The 23,860-nt window shown below is 44.2% G+C and overlaps 1 protein-coding gene across 40 annotated transcripts in view, besides 1 other annotated feature; it reads right to left on the bottom strand.

Moving 5' to 3' along the window:
* The window catches only part of KALRN (kalirin RhoGEF kinase), a 692,957-nt gene that overhangs the window by 223,639 nt on the left and 445,458 nt on the right, over positions 1 to 23,860 (bottom strand). For 37 of the 40 annotated variants that reach the window (XM_006713810.4, XM_017007429.2, XM_011513279.3 and 34 more), the window contains 6 exons: positions 19,787 to 19,879; positions 14,372 to 14,483; positions 11,803 to 11,993; positions 11,263 to 11,364; positions 9,805 to 9,947; positions 6,274 to 6,376 (listed from right to left, as the gene is read on the bottom strand). In XM_006713810.4, coding sequence (XP_006713873.1) covers positions 6,274 to 6,376; positions 9,805 to 9,947; positions 11,263 to 11,364; positions 11,803 to 11,993; positions 14,372 to 14,483; positions 19,787 to 19,879 — 744 coding nt within the window. Of the gene's footprint in view, positions 1 to 6,273; positions 6,377 to 9,804; positions 9,948 to 11,262; positions 11,425 to 11,802; positions 11,994 to 14,371; positions 14,484 to 19,786; positions 19,880 to 23,860 lie in introns of those variants that run through there. The other 3 variants (NR_170953.1, NR_170952.1, XM_047449165.1) reach the window with 2 other exon arrangements.
* Positions 10,808 to 12,007: an enhancer, noted in NCBI's record as "MED14-independent group 3 enhancer chr3:124209527-124210726 (GRCh37/hg19 assembly coordinates)". NCBI's record gives its function as "activates an origin of replication core promoter dependent on BRD2, BRD4, P300/CBP and CDK7 cofactors, and independent of MED14, by STARR-seq in HCT116 cells {active_cell/tissue: HCT116}" and the evidence as "EXISTENCE:reporter gene assay evidence [ECO:0000049][PMID:35650434]".

Below are 23,860 nucleotides of genomic sequence, written 5' to 3'. Positions count from 1 at the left end.
GTGCTCTTTCATATAGAATCTCAGCTAGTCCTTCAAAATCCCAGGAAGTAGAAATCACTGCCTTCATTGCACAGATGAGGAGATGGAGGTATGAAGTGATTAAAGGACCACTCAGGTCATGCAGCTGGTACCTAGTTGGGGATTGAATCCATACCTGATTTGAAAACCCATCCCCTTTCTTTTACATCACATTTCCTCCCTGCAGGAGACACTACTGGCAGCCCACCCAGATCCCCTTTCTTGCCAGGGCACCCATGTCCCAGCTCTTGTGCCTGTTGGCTGCTCACAGCTCACAACCGACACAAACGGCTGGCCCCCTTGCCTCAAGGCAGGGCAAACTCCATGCAATTCCTACTGCAGAGCTCTGGAAGGGACCAGCCTTCACTCCTTCCCCACTGGACCCTGCTTCCCTTCCCTCTTTCCCCCCGTAGGAGCACATCCTCAAATCACAGGCATGGGAATCTCAGTCGGAGACTCCTTCTAGGGGATGGGACCTAGGGTGCTCTCCTTTGACCTTTGAGTTGTCCTAACTCCATCCCTATTCTGTTTTTGTTTTGTTTTGCTTTTTTCCTATTTGTGAGCCCATTTAAGTAAAGACTTTCAATTTTTCTCTCAGTCATCTGTCCTCCATAAGCACTAATCCCTACAGGGAAAATAATGTCTTACATCTAATTCAAGTCCTTTCAGTTGCAGCATTAGCCCACTTTTTCTCAGAAGAAAAACCAAGCAGTCTTTTATCTCTGACGCAATTTACAGAAGACTAGAAATGGCCATCCTTTCTCCTTCTGGTTTTCTATGTACCAGAATGTAAGCTGGAAGATGGCAGGACCTCTTCTCATTTACTGCTGTACTCCTAGCATGGAGAACAGCTTCTGCTGTAGAGTAGGTAGGGCCTCTGCACAGTTCATGAACGAAGTGGGTGGGAATATGCCAACACAGGGGCTAGGCGTCCCCTGGTGCAGGGAGTGGTTCCTCTCTCTGGCTACTGCCCTTGCATCTAGTGGCCTCCCAGTGTGCAGGTGATGAAATTGTCAGTTCTGATGAACCAGGTAAGGCTCTACAGGAGGTCTGTTCTCAGAAGGCTCCTGCAGCCAGGCTGCCCTGCCTCTTGTTAACTGGCGTCATGCTACGGCTTATTATAAAGCAGCAGTGACACTGCAGGAATCCTTTGAATTTCCCCTTAGTTGGACCCTTACCATCTCCTACCCAAGCCTTCCTTCCCAATTGGTAAAACAAAATCTTGGTCATGACCCACTACATTGATGTGATAATTCAGGGTTTAAAAACCATTGAGTTATATCCGAAAATCTCAGGGGTTCTCCAGGTATTTCCCTGTTCTTCTTTGGCATATCACCATTATCAGCCCACATTTCACCTCAGCTCACATTAGCTTGTTACTGAAGTTCCTCTTCAAACCACACACCAGCCTGAAATGTTTCAGCAGTGTTCCTTCCCTTATAATTTTTTCAGAGAAGAGTACCAGCAAGTCAATTTCACTTCAATCTCCCTCTCTCCAGCCAACCCGGACATGTCTGGAAATTTATAGTGATTTTCAGATGGAGAGTATCCCAACTAGGATAGGTTTGTAATGTTCCATTCAATAAGCATTTATTTTATGTTTCCAGCATGCCTGGGCTAAATGGCAAATACATGCACTGGAACTATTACAGTGCAGATGGCTACTTTTGTACCATTAGCTGGATTCAGCAGATATCCATCAGGTTAAACAAGAAGATATTTGGCTGTCACCTCATTACTCAGCCCTGCTTGGCTAGAATTCTATAATTGTAGATTTCTTCTAAAGTGTGACTGCAAAGCCCCGCCATTTAGTAATGCACATATAGTCAAAAGACTATTTACAGTGGAATGACCTTTTCAGAAAACCATGAACTTACTCCTGGACAGAATAGGGAAGGTGGGCTCAGACCACCATGGAACAAAGTGAGCACACCTGTTTGCCCCTTGGGGAACTACCACTTTTGCATTAGACAGGTGTAAGGTAGAAGCTATACAGATCCATTTAAGTATTGAACAAAAGCAACCCTGGAAAAGCTACTAATGCCATTTACTGAGGCACCCATATTGTGTTGTCAGTGTTTAATGTAGGATTAAGAATATTAGACTGTTTTCTCATCAAGAGAGGATTTACAGCTTAAGAAAACAGCTCAGCTTCTCTGCTATAGAGAAAAGTGGTTGCATTTCTTTCCCTGGAGATGTTAAAGAAGAGTCAGACAAGGAGGTTTCCAAGTTACAGACCCTATGTGAGAAATGAGGAGGGGTGTTGGGCATTGGTCTTCTGCTCCCAATCTTGTCTTTTTAGCAAGAATTTGGATGAAGCTGCAGAAGATGCATTTATCCAATATTGCAGAGCGATATGGCTAACACACTGGACAAGATAATTTGTATTCAATACATGCTAGAACACTGAGATGGAACTAAATAAGAGAAAATCTAATAGACATAAAGTAGTCCTACACTCAGGTTACTAAGTCACCTGCCTGAATAAGGGCAGTCCATAAAAAAGGGCATGGAGATTTTCTGAGCCAGCACTGGACACATATGCTAAACATGGCATACCTTAAGGAGGATCCGCACACAGCAGCTAGTCCTGGAACAAGGAGCCATGTTTACATTAGTTAGAATACTTCTGCAGTATTATGTACCTTTTAGATGTATTTATATTTAGATGTATTTGTATTTAGATGTATTTATAGGACCCATTTTATGTAGAAATTACACACTAGAGTAAATCCAGATGAAGGCAACCTGGATGTGAAAAATATATAAATATAAGGAACAGACACAGAAACTGAGGACTTCTAATCAGAGATGATTTGGAGAAAAGATGTGACAAGCATCTTTCAACACTTAAAGGCTTAAGGGCTGCCACTGGTAAAACGTGGTACAATTTGAGCATTAAAATTAATACGTGACGGTAATAGACTATAACTAATTAAATAATAAAATAACCCATGAGCCAATGCTAACAGCAAATATCCAAACCTTAGATTCTAAGGGCTAGCAGATGGAAAAGAGAGTAAAGTTCTTTTTATAGACAGGTGAGTTGAAGCTACATCACTTTAGGTCTAGTACAGAGAAGAACCTGCTGACAGTTAATAAACAATAAAACCACAGGGCAGAACTAGCTCAAGCATTTTCAAAGACCCTCACAGTCTGCCAAATAATTGTGCAGTCTTATTCATAGTATCTAAACCTTTGCTTCCCCTCTAGTAAGAGTGGGAATTAACCTTTACTGAATGTCTAATGGTTATCAAGCAAATATTTTATGTAATCTTACCAATGACTTAGTGAGATAGGTATTATTATCTTTGCTTTACAGAAAAACGAAGGTGCAGTAACCTATGCAATGTGACACAGAGTGTCAGAGCTGGGATTTGAACCTAGGTGTATCGAACTCCTTCCACCACACCACAGCATACGTAACACACATGGAGTGGTTGGAGGAGATCCTGGAGCCGCCACAGCTCCCCAAGTTGGTGTGTCATGGCTCTTTAATGGTTATGCTTTCCTCATCTACTCAGCCAGACAGGGAAACTATTACTGTCATTCCTCTGGATTGTAAGAGGAAGACTGGGGCATTTTTCTAGAAGCCTACTGTTAGATGAGTCTGAATTGGGTGAGCTGTCTCCACCCCTTCCCCTCCCACAGCACCCTTGTTTGCCCTTCTGTTGAATATGAGTCAGTTTACCTGAATCAGTCCACTTTATTATTTTCCTTTTTTTCAGAGACTGTTCATCTGACCACTTAGAAACCAGCGTTCCCTGGCCATCTAGTATAGTCAGGGGAAAATCTGACACTGCTGATAACGTCTACAAGTTCAAACATACCAATGAGTGATTTAACAGAAGAAGAAAAGTGCAGTCACGGAGGACACATGGCTGCCCTGTTATCACTGTTTTGTGTTAGAAGAGTAAGAACATTTAAATTACAGTGCATAGTACTAGACTGATCTTCCCCTTATTTTGAAAGTGTGACTATGTCTAAGGAATTTTCTAGGTTTTGTGTACACACATAACATAGAATCTCCTGACCTGCTCATGTCTCCTAAGGCCAGAGAAGGTAGTTGGGATTTGATCTTTCTTTAGCATATTTAAAAATACAATGTTCATATATCTGTCTGCTTTCAGACCACTGGTTTTAGCTGCCTCTTAATCCTGGAGTTTCCTGAGACCAGCCATTTTGCCCCCTCTATTTATTTATTCCACAAGTATCTCCTGAGCCTCTATGTGCTGCATGTCAGGAGTACGGCAATGAAACAGACAGACACAGCTCTTGCCTTCATCGGGGCTCAATGACCTGGCTATTGAGACAGACATGAAACAAAAAACTACATAAGTAGAGATTCACACTCAACAAATAGTCCACATCTCTCTACAGCATCCAGCACAGAGCTTGGCACATGATGGGTGCTTCTACATGAATATGTGAGCACTGTTTCTGTGAAATATGCAGAAAAACTGACCAGCTGAGTTCATCCTAGTATCAGGAATTCAACGCTTTGACTTTCAGAGTGGGGGAAAACACGAAAAATCAGGAGATCTGTGTTCTAGTTCCTGCCTTCCCACTAACTACTAGAATTGTCTTGGGTGACTCACTTAGTTTCTCTGAGCCTGCTTCCTTACTTGTAGAATAAAGTCTAAGTACTAGGACCCCTCATTAATAGTAAAATGGCTGCCGTCAAAGGTCTTCTAGTCCAGCCCCACATACCTTGCCAGAAAGACAAGGAATAGCTGGAGCTGAGGTCTTCCTAAAACAAATGGCTCTAGCATAGGGGTCTGTGTCAAAGTCAGAGCTGCTGGGAAGATGGATTAGCAGCTGGAAGGGATGAATTCCCTGGACCATGACACTAATAATCTATGTCTCAACATGGGAAACACTGCACTTGACTTACCACCCACTGACTGTTTAAAGAGGAACACTTTTTATACACTAGGAACACTAGGTTATATTTCTAGACAACAGGTCAGAGGAGACAGGAAATTACAGAAATGGTTTTTCATTGTATGTTTTCACAAGTGGAAAAAAACCTAATTTTCCATCCACTCTGATAGTCAGTAGAAAATGGCTTAAAAACTTGAGGGCAGTTGTCAGAATTACCTTGAATGACCTTGAGCACTAGTCTAAAGCATGATTAGGGTGATTTGGCACCATAATTTCAGCAGGTTCGGGGCACAGTCCCCACACTAAGGTCTCAATGGTTTTTTTTCTCCCAGCAAGAAAAAATAGGAAAAATCCTAATGAATGCAGATCATCTTTAAAAGAAATACCTATAACTTAGAAAACTAAGATGAAGCAATGACACAGCCTGCTGTCTGAGCCTGAAGGAGCAGGCCAAAATACTAGGTCTGGATAAACTAGGGACAAATAGTCTTTGGAAACCCAGAACTTCATTAATAAGATCACTAAGAGGCAACAAAAGATCATCTCATACTCTTTGGATTCTAGAGTAAGCAAATGAGAGTAGGCTCAGACATGGACCCTTTCCTCCCCCTGCTACAAATTCCGGCGGTTGCATTCCTCACCTAGCTGGGGCAGATACACAGAGCCTTTGCTACAGTTTCTTTTCTTTTGCTTTCCCATCAGAGCTACTAACTTTTGCTTACTTGCTCCAAAATGTTAGAAAGCAAGTGGCCAGGCTTTCTCACACAACAACTACACCCTTCGTATACCACTTCCTGGTCCTCCTGTCTCTCAGCAACTGAGCCCCAATAATCTGGCCAGAGGAAAGCATCATTTCCACTAGAGTCCCTTTGGATAACAGGCTGCTACCAAACAGCATCTCTGTGGCCATTTCCCAAACCTTTAATCTTGGTCTAACTTTGAGATGAGCTCTTCTCAAATCACTGTAAATTTGAGCCAATCACAGCCACTAAGGTCTCAGGACACTATTCCAACTCAGCCTCACTGAGATCCATCCCCCCAGAAGGCACAGCAGCCCAAGAAGCCCAGGTGGGGCATCTCAGAAAGAGAAGAAACCTAGACTCCCTCACTGCTCAGCCTTCCCACTTCTGTTAAACTCTCCCAGTGTGAGAGGTCAGCCTGAACCACCGCAGTCTTCCATCCCCTCAGACCAGATCTCGTGCTGGGACATGCCTCCTCCAGCCCTGTTCTTTCCTCCTTGGCTGGCACAAAGAGACAACTGGCTCCTGAAGGTAGGATCCATAGTGAGAGAAATTCTCTAGGGGTACCTCTCCAGGGGTGGTTGAGCCATCAAGAAGTCTCAGGGGAAGGAAGGTTAGGACTCTGTCCTACCTTGTCACTGTCCACTGTGTTCTGAGAGGTCCTAGAAGCAATGGAGATGGTGTCTGGTTGGCTGCTCCCATCCCCCTGGCTGTCAATATCCTCCACTCCATCCCTGCAGGAAGAAGAGAAAAAAAACAGGGGTGGGGGTGGGGGGAACCACTGTGGGTTTAGAGCACACAAGGATTTCCGGTTGGGTGGGCAGAGCAGCGCCTCAGCACTTTCTAGCAGGGATTTGTCTAAAATTATCCTGCTAAAGAGAGTGGCCCTATGTGATTTTCAGTGATGTCACTTCTTGCACTTAGTAAACACATAATCACTATGTTGATAACTAAATGCAAAATGACCCCCTTCCCCAAAACTCCTCCAGCCCATGCTGCAGAGGGGGTGTATGTATGTATATATGTGTGTGTATATATATATATATATATATATATATATATATATATATATATATATACATACATACACATACACACACTTGGGAACGGGTCTGTAAGAGGCAGTAGGAAGATATATATCCTACTTAGAGCCTAGGCTTCTATCCAGGTGATTAGGTCATTTTAATAATCCCAAATTCAGGGTATTCAAGTTTTTGTACATGCTGTAATTAAGATGAGGGTTCATTTACAGCTGGCCTATAAAGAAAACAGAAGTGACAAGATTTCTTCTTCTTTTTTTTTTTTTTTTTTTTTTAAGATGGAGTCTTATTCTGTCACCCAGGCTGGAATGCACTGGCATGATCTTGGCTCACTGCAACCTTCACCTCAAGTGATCCTCCTGCCTCAGCCTCCCAAGTAGCTGGGTTTCCACGTGCCTGCCATCATGCCCAGCTAATTTTTGTATTTTTTTGTGGAGACGTGGTTTCACCATGTTGGCCAGGATGGTCTCAAAACTCCTGACCTCAGGTGATCTGCCCGCCTTGGCATCCCAAAGTACTGAGATTACAGGTGTGAGCCACTGCACCCGGCCAAGATTTCTTTTAAACTTGAGTTTCTTCTGTTCAAGAAAACAGGTTGTGTGGAATATTGTCTCCAGGGGATATTAACTTTGGGAAATTCCTGATATTAGACCTTCAACTCCTGGGTGTGGAGAAGGAATTTATTGCCTTCATCTGGCTGGGTTTTGAGGATCTCATGCATGTTTATAATGATTTCTTATCGATACAGAAGGCCAAGGCATTTTCTCAAAGATTGGTGAACAGTCACAGGTTCCACAGCAGCTTTGGAGCCAGCTGTGCTTCTGTGTGTCAGCTAAGGCCATCTCCTGAGTGCACTCCTGGCATTTAGACCCCTTCCTGGGCCCCGGACCACACAGCTGTCCCCATGTTCTTTCAGCTCTCCAGCTGTAGAACTGTGCCCCCATCCTGTACCAAGCCCACAGCCATGGCCAAAAGGGATTGCATGTCTGGAAACTGATGAAGGCTGCAAGGTCTGTGCCAGGAAAAGCTGGGGGAGATGTGGAGTTGGAGTTGGGTGAATTAGCACAGGAAATGACAGCTTTTCCCCAGGGGGCTTTTATAAAAGATACCCTGATGCTGCTTGTGGAGAAGTAATGGCATCAGGGGACAGGGAAACTGAAAGCCTGAGAATCCTACCACATGAACAAAGTGCCACAAATAACGAATTCACCTCAAAGGGTCTAAATGATTGCACTCTGGTGTATGTGTGAATGTATGTGGATGTGTGTGTGTATGCAAGTACCCATGCATGTGCACATGTATACACACAATGTCTATTCATCATAAAAAGTATTTTCTCCCATCCAGAACATTTCTAAGTCAACTGCTCTCTCACCATCATTTGTGGGCTTGGGAAATGCCAATTTATTTTAATAACATAAGCCACACATTCATAGGAAGGAAAATCTGCTGTAAAAAGACTTTATGTGACGCATTTCAAAACCAAAAATAAAGGACTTTTAGATCATCTGTTGTTTTGGATTATCTGGGCCAGCGCTCCCCACCATGTGTAGACAGTTGAGAGCTGGCTGTACTTTCTGCTTCCCGCTATTCTGGCCCATGGTGGGCCCTTCTGGTCCACTCCAGGTGAAGCCACTTCTGGGGGGATGTGGGGAGGCCACCTAGGACTGTGGGTAGTATTCCCCAACCAATGAACTCCTCTATAAACTGTCCCCATATCCAGGAATCCAAGATAACGGAATTAAAGACTGCTTGGTTATTCTCTGCAGAGTATGCCAAGGTTTCTCACCCACCCATTGTAGGACAAGAGAAAAGGTGGGAGCAGAGAAAAGGTGGGGGCATTTCCAAGATATGCCTTTCCCATGTTCTGGAAATGCTCAAACTCTCCTACTATAGGAAAAAGGGGCTATGTCAGGGTAAATAAGCCTAGTCAGCCTCACCTGAGTATCCTCTTTCACTATGATCCTAGACCATCATTTCTTTGTAATTGTTTCCTTTCTAATTTATTTATTAAAGTAGGGATTCCCTGAGGCATGGCCTGTCTCCACTGCTAGACTTTAGTCCACCCCCTCCTTACCTGGACTCTGGACATAGATAACTGGCATCAAAATGACCCCTTCACCAGAGCAGTTATAATTTGTCCATGCAGCACTGAGGAGGTGAACTTATCCTGGTCATGCAGGTCTTGGGGCTTCCGCCCCATGGAGGTTTCTCCACCATAGTCACACCCTTCTTTTGGCTACCACCTCACTCAGGACCAATGCTGCTGCGGCTTCATAGGCCCTGAAATGGCTCCCTACCCTGCTTGTCCTGGTTGGTGCCTAAGGGTCAACTAAATCCTCCAGATTTATTCCATTCAGGTACAGGGGAGGAGGGAAGAACCTGTTATCACCAATGGCCATCTCTGCTAGAACCCCATTTTTTTTTCTTCAAAATGTACGTGAAGTTTTTGTATGCTTTCTTTGGAACTGTCCCCCAAAAGAGTCATTGTAAGTGTAGGTGTCACATGGAGACTTGGGAAAGAAATACTTAAGAAGTCATCCATGGGTTTAGAGGAAACTGGGATTCAGAAGCATCCAGAAAGATATAAGTCCTCTTCTGCCCAATGACGTTGCTTATCATAGGTGAATGAAGGTGAGGTCTCTGTGGGGGTTGCAGTAAGACCTGCAATGAAACCACCACTCCACACATTACAGTACACAAAGCCCTTTGACTATCCAACCAGTCCAGAGAGTTCCTCCACTCTAGGACTCATCTAAAGTCCCCTTTCTTTGAATTCTTATAGAATTTATGATCCCTATACGTGGTTCTTCTGGTCTATTTCATGTGTCAGACATGACTATTAGATGGCTCTTAAGGGAATCGACTCATCTTACACTTCCTTTTATCTTGTAGAACCTAGCAGAGTGTTTATCATATAAGAGGTGCTCAATGAAGCCCTGCTGAATTTGACACTAGTGAGATGCTTAAAGATCAGATGACTCATCCTAGGTAGAACTCACAGGCCTTCCTGGAGAGTGCCACCTGCTGGGCACATCCCCCTTCAGAAGCAAAGATTCATCCCATTCCCGCACCCGGAAGCCTGTGAGGCAGGCAGTGCTGGAGGGAGAGGTGCTGGTTACCTCTTACTATTGTTCCTCTGTTTGGCTGGTGTTTTGGGGAGCTGAAGTGGCTCCTTTAAAGCTCCTTTCAGGTGAATGATCCTTTCTTGAATCACTTCTCGAATGTTCTTGATCCACTCCTGCTTGGTTTCAATGTTGGAGGCCTAGAGTGCCACAGGGAGAAAGACTGAGAACCCCAACTCCCATCACCTTACCAAAAACAGTTCTCAACCCTCCTGCAGTCTTCATCTGTTATTTTCAAGGATTCCAAATGTCTGGGGAGTTTATTTCTCATTTCATACTTATGACTCTTCAATACCAGAAACAGGCTTCTCCAACTCCCAGAACAGTGCTCCGACCTCAAGATTCAATGCAGAATTACTTGTACGGGAGTAACTGTCAAAGTATTTCATAACTCATAAGGCACTGACCAATCCTGATATCTGCCCTGGAGGTGGAACAGTATCTGGAAGTTCCCCCTGGGACAGGGATTAACACCTGGGTTGCTAGATCCTGGGGAGGTCTGGTGGGCACTGGGAGGGGCAGCATCTACTTCCCAATCAGTATGGATATATGTCAGGATGTTCACCTAGCATGGCTCCACAGACTTGTACTGACTAGAAATCAGTCCTGGGTTTGTGGCAAGCTCTGTTAACTAAAGGCACTGCTATCATTTTATGATGATCCCATTTGTCTTGGTAGAATTTTTTTTCTGGTAATTCTGCCTCACAACAGGTAGCAGCTATGCTGGCAGTTCAGAGTGAATACATGTGAAGCTTTTGTCGGGGTTGGACCATTTTTTCCTTGGTGATGGGCACTTTCCTGACAAGCAAATGACTGCTGGGAACTTCATCATCTGCATTATCGCTGCTCAGACAGGCTAACATCACTGCTGTGCCCCAGAGAGCTGCAATGACTCCTCAAGGCCGTCTTCTGGTGAAAGGCTCCCTCTTGACATTTCTCTCCATCAGCATGGTCCCCATGCTAATGTGATTTAGTAGGGGTTCAAGAATGTAGGTTCCCAGGGAATAAGGTCCATATCTTATACATAGTTATCCCCCACCACACTAGGCACTATACCTTTTACACGGAAGTTATTTAGGAAAAAATGTCAAATGAATGTGGAGCAAATCAAGGTGTCTTTTGTCAAAGCGTCAATTGTTCTTGCCACTTGAAGGAAGAGATACGGACAGAGCACAGTTTAAGCGGGCCTTGCTGAGCTGGTCCCACAAGCCACTCCCTGCTTTCTTCCCTCTTGGTCACACATGTGCATGCACTTGAGGAGACCATGCGTCTTTGAGATTCTGGGTCTACTTTCATGATAGAATTTGCTTCTCAATGCCCACGTGATGCTGCCATTCCCAAAAGAGGCCCATGGCTCAGTAGAGTCTCTGGGCCTTAGCTTTGAGGTGTCACTTGCCCACCCCCACTTCTATTATCCCCAACCCTAGTTTGTGCCTAGCAGAGAGCAGTACTTACTTTCAGCACTGTTTTATTGTCTGAGGATGGGGTGCGCCCAGACCACAAGGCGAATTTGCAGGGATCGCCCTCCACGTGCTCGGTCACACCCAGCTCTGAGGTCTGTAGACAGGAAATGCCTATGAGAGGCGGGGAAGGGGAGGGCAGTGGGGAAACTTAGGGCTGGGGTGGGAAGGGAAAGGCAACAAAGAGGAGAGGACCGAGGGAGGGGCTTCTGTCAATCAAACTTTAACAGATTGGATATTCTGTTCATCTACCCAGGATGAAAGGACCTACAGGCACGTGCCTGATTAGCAGGTACCAGGGAGGGAAGGTGAAGAGGGAGGTGCTAAAAGCAAACAGAAAGAAGAACTGTGAACTCTACAATGCAGACGTGGGAGGTGAGTGGGGTGCTTTCCAAATAGGAGACATTTTCATTTGTCCAGGATGGTTTTGGTGTGGAGGCCGGGGAGGAGATGAGATGAGTGTGTCCAGATCCCTTCCTGCCCATGGGTTCTATGAAAGCAGGGAGTCTTGTCTTACCCCACCTGCCCCACCTACCAGTAGCTTGTTCTTGTAAACATATTTCGTGTGTCCTGAAGAATCTTTGATCTCCTTGCTAAAAACCAAGGAGATCTCAAAGAGGAACAAGTGCCGCTCCCGCCCCTTCCGGATCAGCGACTTCGGGTCCCACACTTGAAAGGCATCCTGGAGAATCAACTCCCCCTGCACATCCAGGTTCTCGTCGAACCCTGAAAAACATCCATTTCCACCCTGTGGAGTTTCTCTACTGCCACAGTCAGGGGGCCATGTTCCACCCCCCTCTTGGAGAAAGGCCTCTCTTATTGTTAGTCTTCAGTTACTGAAGGGTTTTTTTCTCTCTGCTAACTCCAGAGACTGCTGAACACTTCCATAGACATCTCTGAGAATTGCAATTAGATCTCTCCTGCCCCCTTCCTGCACCATGTCTTTTATATACATAACCAATATTAGTGGAATCTCCTGCAAAGGTCCTATGCAACCTCACACCTTCACACACCCACAGTTGGCCTCCTGCAAGGGCAAATCCCATAGCTCCTTTGTCCTCCACAACTTTCTACTGTTCCTGACTTGTAGCTATGAGTGGGGTTGAGGACAAACACTGCCTGACTGAGTGTCTTCAGCTCCTCTTTATGTGTCATTCATTACCTTAATTCTTCTTATTATTATTTTTTATTTTTTTTGCAGTGGCATGATCGTGGGTCACTGCAGCCTTGAACTCCCAGGTTCAAGTGATCCTCCCAGCTTAGCTTCCCAAGTAGCTGGGTCATAGGTACATGCCACCATGCCCAGGTAATTTTTGTATTTTCTGTAGAGACAAGGTCTCCCTATGTTGCCCAGGCTGGTCTTGAGCTCAAGTGATCCTCCCACCTTGGCCTCCCAAAGTGTAGGATTATAGGCATGAGCCACTGTGCCTGACCTACCTTAATTCTTATATTCCATTTCTAGAATTCCTCCCTTTGATTACTTTGCACAAGCCTTCAACAGTTTATATTTATACCACTTGAAGTTTTTAAGAGATGCTCTCAAACTTTACTGTGCATAAGGATCACCTGGAGAGCTTGTGAAAACACAGATTACTGCCCACCCTCCAACCTCCCCAGATATTCTGATTTAGTAGGTGTGGGGTGAGTCCATGAATGTGCACTTCTGACAAGCTCCCAGGTGCTGTTGCTGCTGCTGGTAAACAGACCATGCATGGAGTAGCTGGATCCAGAGCATAGGTCAGGGACAGACTGGAGGAGCTGGGTACTTGCAGGTACTTCCAGGGTGGGGTGGAGGGGAAGGTACAAACAGAGAGGAAAGGAGTGGAGAAAAATGTCAACAGGAATACATTGAGATGGTTCCTGCTCAGCCTAGGGAAAATAGCCAGGGCTCCTTTGCTCTAAGAATTGAGGCTTCTGGTGCTAAGGATGGTCTGGGAAGTATGGAGACCGTATCAAGTCTCCCAAGGTGGTGTTGGTGGTATTGGCGGAGTAGGATGGAGTCCAGAAGAGAAAAAACAGCCCACGTGTTTACATATTTGCAACAGACTATACACATTTCCTTTAGCACCCATTAAAAATGTTAAGTCTTTTTGTTTGTTTGTTTTTGTTTTTTGAGATGGAGTCTTGCTCTATCGCCCAGGCTGGAGTGCAGTGGTGCGATCTCAGCTCACGGCAACCTCTGCCTCCTGGGTTCAAGCGATTCTCACACCTCAGCCTCCCGAGTAGCTGGGATTACAGGCATGCACCACCACCCCTGGCTAATTTTTGTATTTTTAGTAGAGACGGGGTTTCGCCATGTTGGCCAGGCTGGTCTGGAACTCCTGACCTCAGGTGATCCACCCACCTTGGCCTCCCAAAAAAATGTTAAATCTTAACTCATCTAACAAATTCCACCCCAGTATGGCTGCTCTGCCCACTCATTCTGCAGTGTTAAGACCACTTTATTGGAATCTTACTCTACAGGTTTCTGGTCCCAAGAAGATAGCTTCATCTGACTGAAGTCTTATCAGAGTTGTTTGGCTGGACTTACTAACCTTCTAGAGGACAAAATGCTGGTTGCACAAGAATGTGAATGTATTTAATGCCACCGAACTGTACATTCAAAAATGGTTAAAATGGTAAATTTATGTTATACATATTATGTATATTTTACCATAATAACAAAAAAAGAGCATAAGGCTGAAGATGGTATGTTTTGTGTGTATGTGTGTCTGTGTGTGTTTATGTGATCAGGCTTTCTATTCATTGTGATGACCAAGGCAATGTAATGCAGATGCTATGCAGACTAACAAGACTGCTGTAGGTTGGAAGCTCTAGCACATCAACAGTGAGGGTGATGGCCTGTCCTGGACTGTCTCATGGGCAGCAACATGTCCACATAACCTCCAGTGGCTTAGGCCTGGTCCTTCCTAGAAGCAGGGTGCTAGCCAAATTGGTCCTTGTGGAGCCCCTCTCACATGACAAGGGCCTATGTAACTACTTGTCATTTCTTCTCTCTTCCAGCCTTGCACCTTGTCTAACTTCATGCCACTTCCCTCCCATGATACAAGCTCCCCCGTGTCAAGGAAGAGAGGAGGCTTCCCCAGTGCTGGGAGGACAGCTACCTTCCAGCATGCTGACATGCATGGCATCATTGGCTTTCTTTGGGACACTGAGCATCACCTCCAGGCCATCCTTGAGCTCCCCTTTCCCTTCTTCACAGCAAGTTAAAAGTTCCTGGGGAAAAAAAAGTCCGGACATAATTAGGGCCATCTCCCCCAGCTTCCTCCCACCACCTAACCCAGCAAGGAAATTATAGACCAGCTTCGCTCTCTGTAATGGTTCCCTCTGAGCTATAAAGAAAGTGAGGTGGGGTAAAAGGGGTTATCTCTAAGAATTCAAGCACTATTTTTCTCCCACACTGAGCATTCTCAGCCCAATCTAGCCCAAACTAACTCAATCCAACCCAACTCCCAAATGGCTTGACCTGTAAGGCAGCAACTGAGGCATTCTCTGTCACTGGACTGCCCTCTTAGAGAAGGGACTACCCTGGCAAAGCACGTGAACAGAGGTGCAGTATTGTATAATCCAATAAAGAGAATAAAGAGAAGAATGAGGAGGATAAAGGGAAGATAAAGAGTGTGCTATGCAGTACCCAAATATCCCTGCATGCTTACTGCTGACACCACTTTTATTTACAAGCCTCTACAGCCTGAATGCTGACTTCCATCCCACTGGGAACAACTTGAGGTTGGAGACTTAATAGGCTTATGACATCCCAGAGTAATAAAATATTTTTAGATCATATGGATCAGGAGTTCCTAATCTGGGGCCAATAGATGGGCTTCTAGGCTATTTCATTGTCAGATGAGGTAAGTGCGATTAAGAGAGATGAAGTGATTTTCCTCAGGTTATATAACTCAGTGGAGGCTATGCAGGGGCCTGAATCCAGGTCTCCTGAATCCAAGTCTGGCACTTTATCCACCACATCAACCCTGTCTCTCCTATATTCTGTCCCCCATTGAGGCTTCCAGGGGCAATACCCTCTTTCTTTTACCTCCTGGGGAGCTGGGGAGTGTGTCCTTTCTTTTGTATTTCCTCATTGGAGACTCAGTCATCACCATCCCCATAAAAGATATATAGTATCTGGTTGGTGGAGGAAAGATCATTTCCAACTATCTTGAGAATCATAAGACCACTTGGAATGATTTTTGCCCAAACCAGAAGAATGTTGGCTTTTCATTTTTCCTATCAGGGTCACTGTATCTTGCTCCCTTTGACACTGAGAAGGGAATGGTTAAGCAACAGATCTGCAAACCATACTCTCTCCTCGAGGGGGCAGGGGATGCATGTTGAGTGGAGGTGCCTTTCCCAGAAATAAAGAAGTTCACCAGATCAAATCTTGTAAACACGTTAATGACAGACCTCTTGACAAATAACCTAATGGTACTTGCTAGCAAGAGAGGACTTATCTAGGAAATGCTTTTAATAGGATAAATCTGGTCTGTCTAGGGCTTCTTATGGTAAACAATCCTAGAATCTGTGGCTTTAGAGGCATAGCTCTCTGGAAGGTGTCACATAAGCTATGCAACTATCTAAGTAAAAAGGGAATATCTTTCATGACCAATTGGCTCTCTTCAGGGCAAGTGATACAATGTGACATACATAATTTACAGACCTTGTAGATCAACCTGGCCGCAGCACATCCTGGCTGCAAGAAAGGGCTTGGAGCTGCACTGGTGGTCCTGGCCCTTTCCTGTGTCACCTCTGTCTTGGAATTACTTGTATCCTTGAAATTTTTAGTCAAGCTTTATACTTGGTAAGATATCTAATTAGTGAGGGTTTGATCGAAAAATCCAATCCTTGGATACATTCCCCTAGGAATAAGGGAGCTTTGAGTGTACAAAGAAGAAGTGCACCCCCTAGAGCACATGTTTGAGAGGGAGAAGTGATCAGTGCTCAGCTTTGCCCTTGGCTCCAGTCAGTATAACGTCACCCTTGTTCAGAAAGTGGTATTTACTTCTGCCAACCTAAAGTTCTCAGATTCTCCCACCCCTTTCCTTATTTTAACCTTCCCAATCTTATTTTCATATATCATCAAAGAAAATCCTGAGGCAAAACATAAGAGAAAAAACAAGAAATATGCTTCAATTTGTGACAGAAAACATGAATTAGTTTAATCCCCCCCTGCCCAAAACAATTTAGCAAGTCTACCAATCTACCAGCTGGGCCAATAAATTTTCCCTGATCCTTGCTATACTTTATGATAAGGAGAAGGCTCCACATTTAATTTAGGATCCTTTTGTAAAGCCACAGCAGATTTACATGAAGAATATTGAGCACTCTGACGTAAAGTTTCTACTTTCACGCCATACCTAAAGTGATGAACCCAGAGGATACTGACAATTAAATATACATGTATTTGAAATAAAACTGACTTTATGAAAATAAATCCCATATTATTTATAGTAAAAGCTCAGCAAACTGTTTTTCTCTTACTCAGCAGGCACTGTGCCACCAGAACATTTAAAAAAGACCAAAACTATCTTCTTCTTTTTTTTGAGACAGAGTCTCGCTCTATCACCCAGGCTGGAGTGCAGTGGTGCAATCTCAGCTCACTGCAACCTCCGCCTCCTGGGTTCAAGCAATTCTCCTGTCTCAGCCTCCCAAGTAGCTGGGACTACAGGTGCACGCCACCACGACTGGGCAATTTTTATATTTTCAGTAGAGACGGAGTTTCACCATATTGGTCAGGCTGGTCTCAAACTCCTGACCTCAAGTGATCCACCTGCCTTGGACACCCAAAGTGCTGGGATTATAGGTGTGAGCCACTGTGCCCAGCCTATTTTCTTAAAAAAATAAAAATAATTTGATGACTTCCTCACAATCAAATTCCTGCCACTTTATTTTTCCACTTCTTAGCTACCTCTATAGGCAATTCTTCCTAAAACACTCAATTCCCGAACAAAGGTCCAGAGCCCACTCCTTCGACTGCCCACAGCAAAACACAAGCCTATTCCATCCTCAACTTCTCTCCCTTGTCTATGCCACATAATTCATCCTAGGGGGCTTACACCTTACAGGGTTAAAGGGAGAGGTAAAAAGCTATATTTCTTTTAGAACTGCATCTTAGTTGATTTAAGACACTGGCAGTGTGGATAGTTGAGTCAGCATTGGTTTGTCTTTCTTTCCTTTTGTTTTTCCTTTTTAAATTCACAACCCCACCAATTCCTGAACAACCTTTGGGTGGGATACATACATTCAAAACCATAAAAATCAATTTTTTTAAGTCTGTTAGCACAAGAAAAATAATTTCATTTTTTATTTTATTCATTTATTTTTTTTGAGACGGAGTCTCACCCTGTTGCCCAGGGTGTAGTGCAGTGGCATGATATTGGCTCACTGCAGCCTCTGCCTCCGAGGCTCAAGCAATTCTCATGCCTCAGCCTCCTGAGTAGCTGGGATTACAGGCACACACCACCATGCCCAGCTAATTTTTTGTAGAGACGGGGTTTCGCCATGTTGGCCAGGCTGGTCTTGAACTCTTGACCTCAAGCAATCCATCTGCCTTGGCCTCCCAAAGTGCTGGGATTACAGGCATGAGCCACCATGCCCGACCATGAAAAATAATTTTAAAAGGCCAAGCATCAAGTGGGATAGGAAAGAAGAAGATAATTACACACAAAATCTGGGCTAAGGGATTCTACTGTAAGCAACCACAAAATTCAATGCTAACTTTCTAATAGCCACACGTAAAGAATGGCCTATGCAGCTGTCATCTAAAGATAGAACGTATACCCATTTCTCAGGAGAGAGGATTCCCTACACCCCTGTCCTGAGATCTCACAAGAATTTATTATGTCTTCATATAAGAAATTTCAAAAAACAAAGAAGGGAAAGCAGTTCTGTCAGGACAGCTGGGGTGGCTGCACACTCTTTTCTCACACTAGTCCTCAGGAAAGGCCGAGGGTGTGATGTCCAGTTGTAACACTTTAAGCCATTTCTGCAGGGTTGGTTGGCTGGAGCACTGGAAGCAGATGTCTGTAGCCTCTTCTTGGAGATGAGGAAGGAGAAGAATTGCAGGGATGAGGCTGAAGGGAAATGATGTGGCACGGCCCCACTCTGACTCAGAGGACAGAAAACCCTACCAGGGCACAGCCTCCTGCACCTTCACTGCACTGCTGCCCTCACGCCTCTCATAGTGCTAAGCCAGGGAGATTCCATGGGCTGGGAATGGTGGACTCACTCCAGTGTGACTAGAATGGCAGATTTAAAATTAGACTGGTTTTCAGGTTCAGTGAAATGAGATTATGCAAGTTTTTGCAGACATCTCTAAACATGAGCTGAATTACATCAGATTTTCTCTGAAATTACACAATGTACTTATAACATGTCCCCTACTATCCCTTTATCTTTGCATTAAAGGAGCAACCAGCAGGATATTTCAAATGAGGGAAAACTCTACCCCTAAACTTTAGGTATTAATATAGATGGGGGTTATTTAACTACTTGTGTCAATTCCCCAGGCTTTCTGTGGAAATGACATTATTTTCAATGTATCAATGCATTCTTATATGACAAGGATGAACCCAAATTACTTAGTGTTTTGCATATTTGGTTATTTAACTTTTAAAGATAAGATTTTGAAGGAAAATCCAAATCTCTTGGTTGGCTCCAGAAGAACCCCTAACATGCGAGAACCTACAGATATAAGAATACCCTTGTGTTTTAATATGTACCCTTTGACTATTTTCCCTCAAAATCCTCATCGTCTTGACAAACACAGACAATGGTAGGTGCCACCCTGGCCTCGACTACCCATGTAAACTGGCACTGCCCTTAGGACTCTGACCTTTTATTTATTTATTAATTATTATTCTTATTTTTTTGAGACTGTGTCTCACTCTGTCACCCAGGCTGCAGTTCAGTGACACGATCTCGGATCACTGCAACCTCCGCCTCCTGGGTTCAAGTGATTCTCTTGCCTCAGCCTCCCGAGTAATTGGGATTACAGGTGCACACCACCATGCCTGGCTAATTTTTTGTATTTTTAGTAGAGATGGAGTTTTGCCATGTTGGCCAGGCTGGTCTCAAACTCCTGGCCCCAAATGATCTGCCCATCTCAGCCTCCCAAAGTGCTGGGATTATAGGCATGAGCCACTGTGCCTGGCAAGACTCTGCCTCTTGATTTCATCAAAAGCAGGGGCTACCAGGAGGAATCTGCTTCTGTAAGGAGGGACAAGAAAGCCTCTAGGAGCCAGTCAGTGCCTGAGAAGGCAATTGCTAAAAGCTGTGCAGTGGTAGGTAGATGAGAAAATAGTCACAACTTATTCCTGCTCCCTTTTCTCCCCCTTCTGCCTTAAAATAGGCATCTGGATTTCCATGGGATAGGACAGCGATGCCAGTGTGGGCTGAAGTTCTGCCCTAGGTAGAAGAAAGGTCTTCAGGTGGAAGCATTCCTATCCTTAGGGGCCAAAGCTGGGACTCCCTTGCCCCAGGCAGTAGGCAGTGGAGGGGGATGTAGAGGGGAGGGGAGGTACCTTCAGGAGCAGTTGATATTTGGTGATCCTTTGGACAGGCTTAATTAGGTAGGAAGAGATGGAGTTGGCCAGACCATGCCGCTGTTGTATCTCCTGCAGGGATGAGAACAATGTGCAATTAGACACAGAGGGGTGTGTGCATGTGTGTGAACTCTGAGAGGAGAAAGGCAGGGGTCAGAAGAGAGGAAGAAAGAGAAAAAGGTAGACAAGTATGAGAACATGTTCTTTCATAGGGAGAGGGGAGTAAAAAGAGAAACAAAAGAGACCAAGATGCATATAGAGAAAATAGGAGAGAGAGTAAAAAGGGAGAAGGATTAGGGAAAGAAGCAAGTGTGTGAAACAAATAGAAATTGAGCAAAAATGGAGAAAAAGAACAGTAGAAAAGAGAGCAATAAGGTAAATAACAGAGCGGAGGGTAAGGAGAGATGAAGTAGGAGTAAAAGGAAATCAGTTCCAAAAAGGGGAGATGAGAGTACAGGGAAGGCAGAGAATGAGGCTCTGACATCTATTCTGATGGCTCCTGAGGAGTGTTTCCCTGCCTTCAGTCTCCTTAAAATAGCACAAGGATATATCTCCTTTATTAATACCATCCTTCTCTTTAAATTTAACACATCCCAACTTAGGGTCATCACTTTATTTCTTATAAATGTTCATTGTGATAAATAGCACCTCCTTCATTCTTCAGGTCTCCTAAGCTAGAAACCATGGAGTCAATTTTAGTCATTTCTCCTCTGTTATCCCTGGTGACAAATCTTTCCTTTCCATTTCCAGGGACATCACCCTCATCACTCATGCCCAGGCTAGGGCCGTGGCCTCCAACTGCTGTTTGTGCTTCTAGTCTCTCCTTTTAATCTACTCTCTATCCTACCTCCAAAATGATCTTCTACTCCCCAAAGTCTAGGGGTTCTAAGGGTCAGAGAAAGGTATATTTTTCTCCCTCCCCTCAAAAAGCTTACAGTCTAGATGAGAATACTCAACGCACATGAACTAGAGATCAACAAAAGACAATAGAGGAAATGGTATAGCCAATAAAAATTGAGAGATTACTGGGGTTGGGAGTGGCCGGGTGGTTAGTAGAGATAAGGCCTCAACCTCACCTGGGGCTAAGAGGTGAGGTGGGCAGTGGGGGTGGGTTAAGTAAAAGGTTGGAGGAATGACACTCACTTACATCAAACACAAAACTGTATCGGCTGAAATAATCATTGTGTGTTTAGATGATGATGAGGACCATGACTGAATGGTACAGAGGATGCACACCCACCTTCTATAAGAAGTGAAAAATACAGTTAGATATGCAAGGTTGGGTCATTGATGGGTTTGAGTTAGAAAAGAGTTAGGATATGATGGTAAGTTTTTCAATGGTAAAGCATCACAGATCTTAAACAGAAAAAACAGGCGGGGCATGGTGGCTCACGCCTGTAATCCCAGCACTTTGGGAGGCCGAGGCGGGAGGATCACTTGTATCCAGTAGTTCAAGACCAGCCGGGGCAACATGGCCAGATCCCATCTCTACAAAAAATACAAAAATTAGCTGGGTATGGTGGCACGTGCCTGTAGTCCCAGCTACTTGGGAGGCTGAGGTGGGAGGATTACTTGAGCCCAGAAGGTCAAGGCTGCAGTGAGCTATGATCACACCACTGCACTCAACCTGGATGACAGAGAGAGACCCTGTCTCAAAACAAACAAATAAACAAACAAACAACAAAAAAGAGAAAAAAACACATGATGAAAGTAATGTTTCAGAAAGAGTAATATATATACCTAACAGCAACATGGGGGTAAATCTTGGAGAAATAGAGACAGAAAGACAAGTTATGAGGCTATTGCAAAAGCCCAGGTGTATAGATATGAAGTTACCACACGATCCAGCAATTCAAGTTCTAGGTATATACTCAAGAGAAATAAAAAATATATATCTATGCATGAAAAACCCAAACATCCATGAATTGATAAATGGAAAAACAAAATGTAGAATATTCATACAATGAAATATTATTTGGACATAAAAAGAAATGAAGTTCTGATGCATGCAACAACACAGATGAACTCTGAAAACATTATGCTAAGTGAAAGAAACCAGTCACAAAAGACCATGTATTATGACTCAATTTTATGAAATGTCCAGGCAAGGCAGATCTATCTGTAGAGACATAAAGTAGATCATTGGTTGCTTGTGGGTTGGGGTTTGTGGTGGAGAGCTGGGGGGTGATGGCTAAAGGATACAGGGTTGCTTTGTGAGGTGATAAAAGTGCCCTAAAATTGACTGAAGGGATGGTTGCACATACCTGTCAGCGCACACACAAAAACACTGAATTCATACTTTAAATGGGAAAAATGTATGATCTCTGAAATCATCTCTCAATAAAGCTGTTATTTTAAAGTAGGTCCAGGTATGCAATGTAGGGGCATGCCCTAAGCTAGAATTAGTGAGAATAAAGCATTGGGAAGAATAAAAGAAATATTTTAAAGATGGACTAGATAGGACTTGTTATGGGGCTATGAAGAAGGGTGGAGGAGAGATAATAATAATTTAAAAAATTATTCCAATGCCTATCAGAAATGATTTCTATCCCAGAAAGTAGCAATTTTGTCACCATTTGCCTCTTTCCCAGAGGTGTGTACTTGCAAGACTTGTTTGAGGATGATGGGCAAAACAGATGCAGCTTGACTCTCTTCAGGCAACTGAACCTTGTGAGTTTATCTGGGAGCTTTGGCAAGAAAGCACAAGCAACAGTGCACCTTTGGCACTCTTTCCTCTCTGATGAAAAGCCCAGCTTAAGGAAAGCTGCATGTGGAGCAGAGAGGGAGGGGCCTACATCAGTCAAACCAAGCTTAGACATCACACCCATGCTGTGTGATGGGTCAAACATTCTGGATCGGCCGGGCGCGGTGGCTCACGCCTGTAGTCCCAGCACTTTGGGAGGCCGAGGCGGGTAGATCACGAGGTCAGGAGATCGAGACCATCCTGGCTAACACGGTGAAACCCTGTCTCTACTAGAAATACAAAAAATTAGCCAGGCGTGGTGGTGGGTGCCTGTAGTCCCAGCTACTCGGGAGGCTGAGGAGGGAGAATGGCGTGAACCCAGGAGGCGGAGCTTGCAGTGAGCCGAGATCGCGCCACTGCACTCCAGTCTGGGCAACAGAGCGAGACTCCGTCTCAAAAAAAAAAAAAAAAAAAAAAAAATTCTGGATCGTGTGAATGTGTAAGCCTTTCTAGGACTTTAATTCTCTGTGTTCTCTTTACAGTAATGGATATTAGGTGACTGCCTTTATTAAGGGTTTATCTCATTTATAGAATGAGGGCCTAAAGCAAATGGTTCCTAAGTGTAGAACTTAGGGAAACTCTTCTGATGGAATGAAAGTAAGCCACAAAGATTATGCCTTTTGGAAAGTTTTGAAAGCAATAGAATGAGGGCCTAAAGCAGATGGTTCCTAAGTGTAGAAGTTAGGGAAACTCTTCTGATGGAATGAAAATAAGCTGCAAAGATTATGCCTTTTGGAAAGTTTTGAAAGCAATCCGGAGAGTTTACTGTCTTCTGTCCCCGCTTCCAGGGCAGACTTTAAGAACTCCTACTGGACTGGTTTTGTGGCTTCCATCAGTCTTTCCAACTAATGTAGAAGCTCACTAGGCACTATGTTGGAAACGGGGTATAGGGTGGGAAATTTGGGGATATATCTGACTTATCAAAGCCTAGAAATTGGCTAGAAATGGGGATGCGAGGTATGTAGTACTAAGGGAAAATACATTCTGGTGCCAGGCACTGAGATGTGACAAATATGAATCAGGCATAAGATCTCAAGGAGCTCACAGGTGGAGGGAGATGTGAGTAACAGAAAGGTGCATTGTTCACCTGCCAAAAGGCAAATCATTACAAATGCTATAACAAAGATACAAAGTACAAAGGAAAGGATTCATGCAGGAAGCAGCATGTGACCTTTAATGGATAGGAAGAATTTTGAAGAGAGAGACAGAAGGGTGTGTGTGTTTGTGTGTTTGTGTTGTGTGGAGAGGACACAATCTATCCTAGGCAGAGAGAGCGGTGTGAGCAAAGACAGGAAGCAGAAGAGTTTGAG

This window comes from Homo sapiens, chromosome 3 (genome assembly GCF_000001405.40).
Source record: "Homo sapiens chromosome 3, GRCh38.p14 Primary Assembly".
Taxonomy (NCBI): domain Eukaryota; kingdom Metazoa; phylum Chordata; class Mammalia; order Primates; family Hominidae; genus Homo; species Homo sapiens.
Note: the sequence above shows the minus strand (reverse complement) of the source record. Positions and strands in the feature narration are given on the sequence as shown.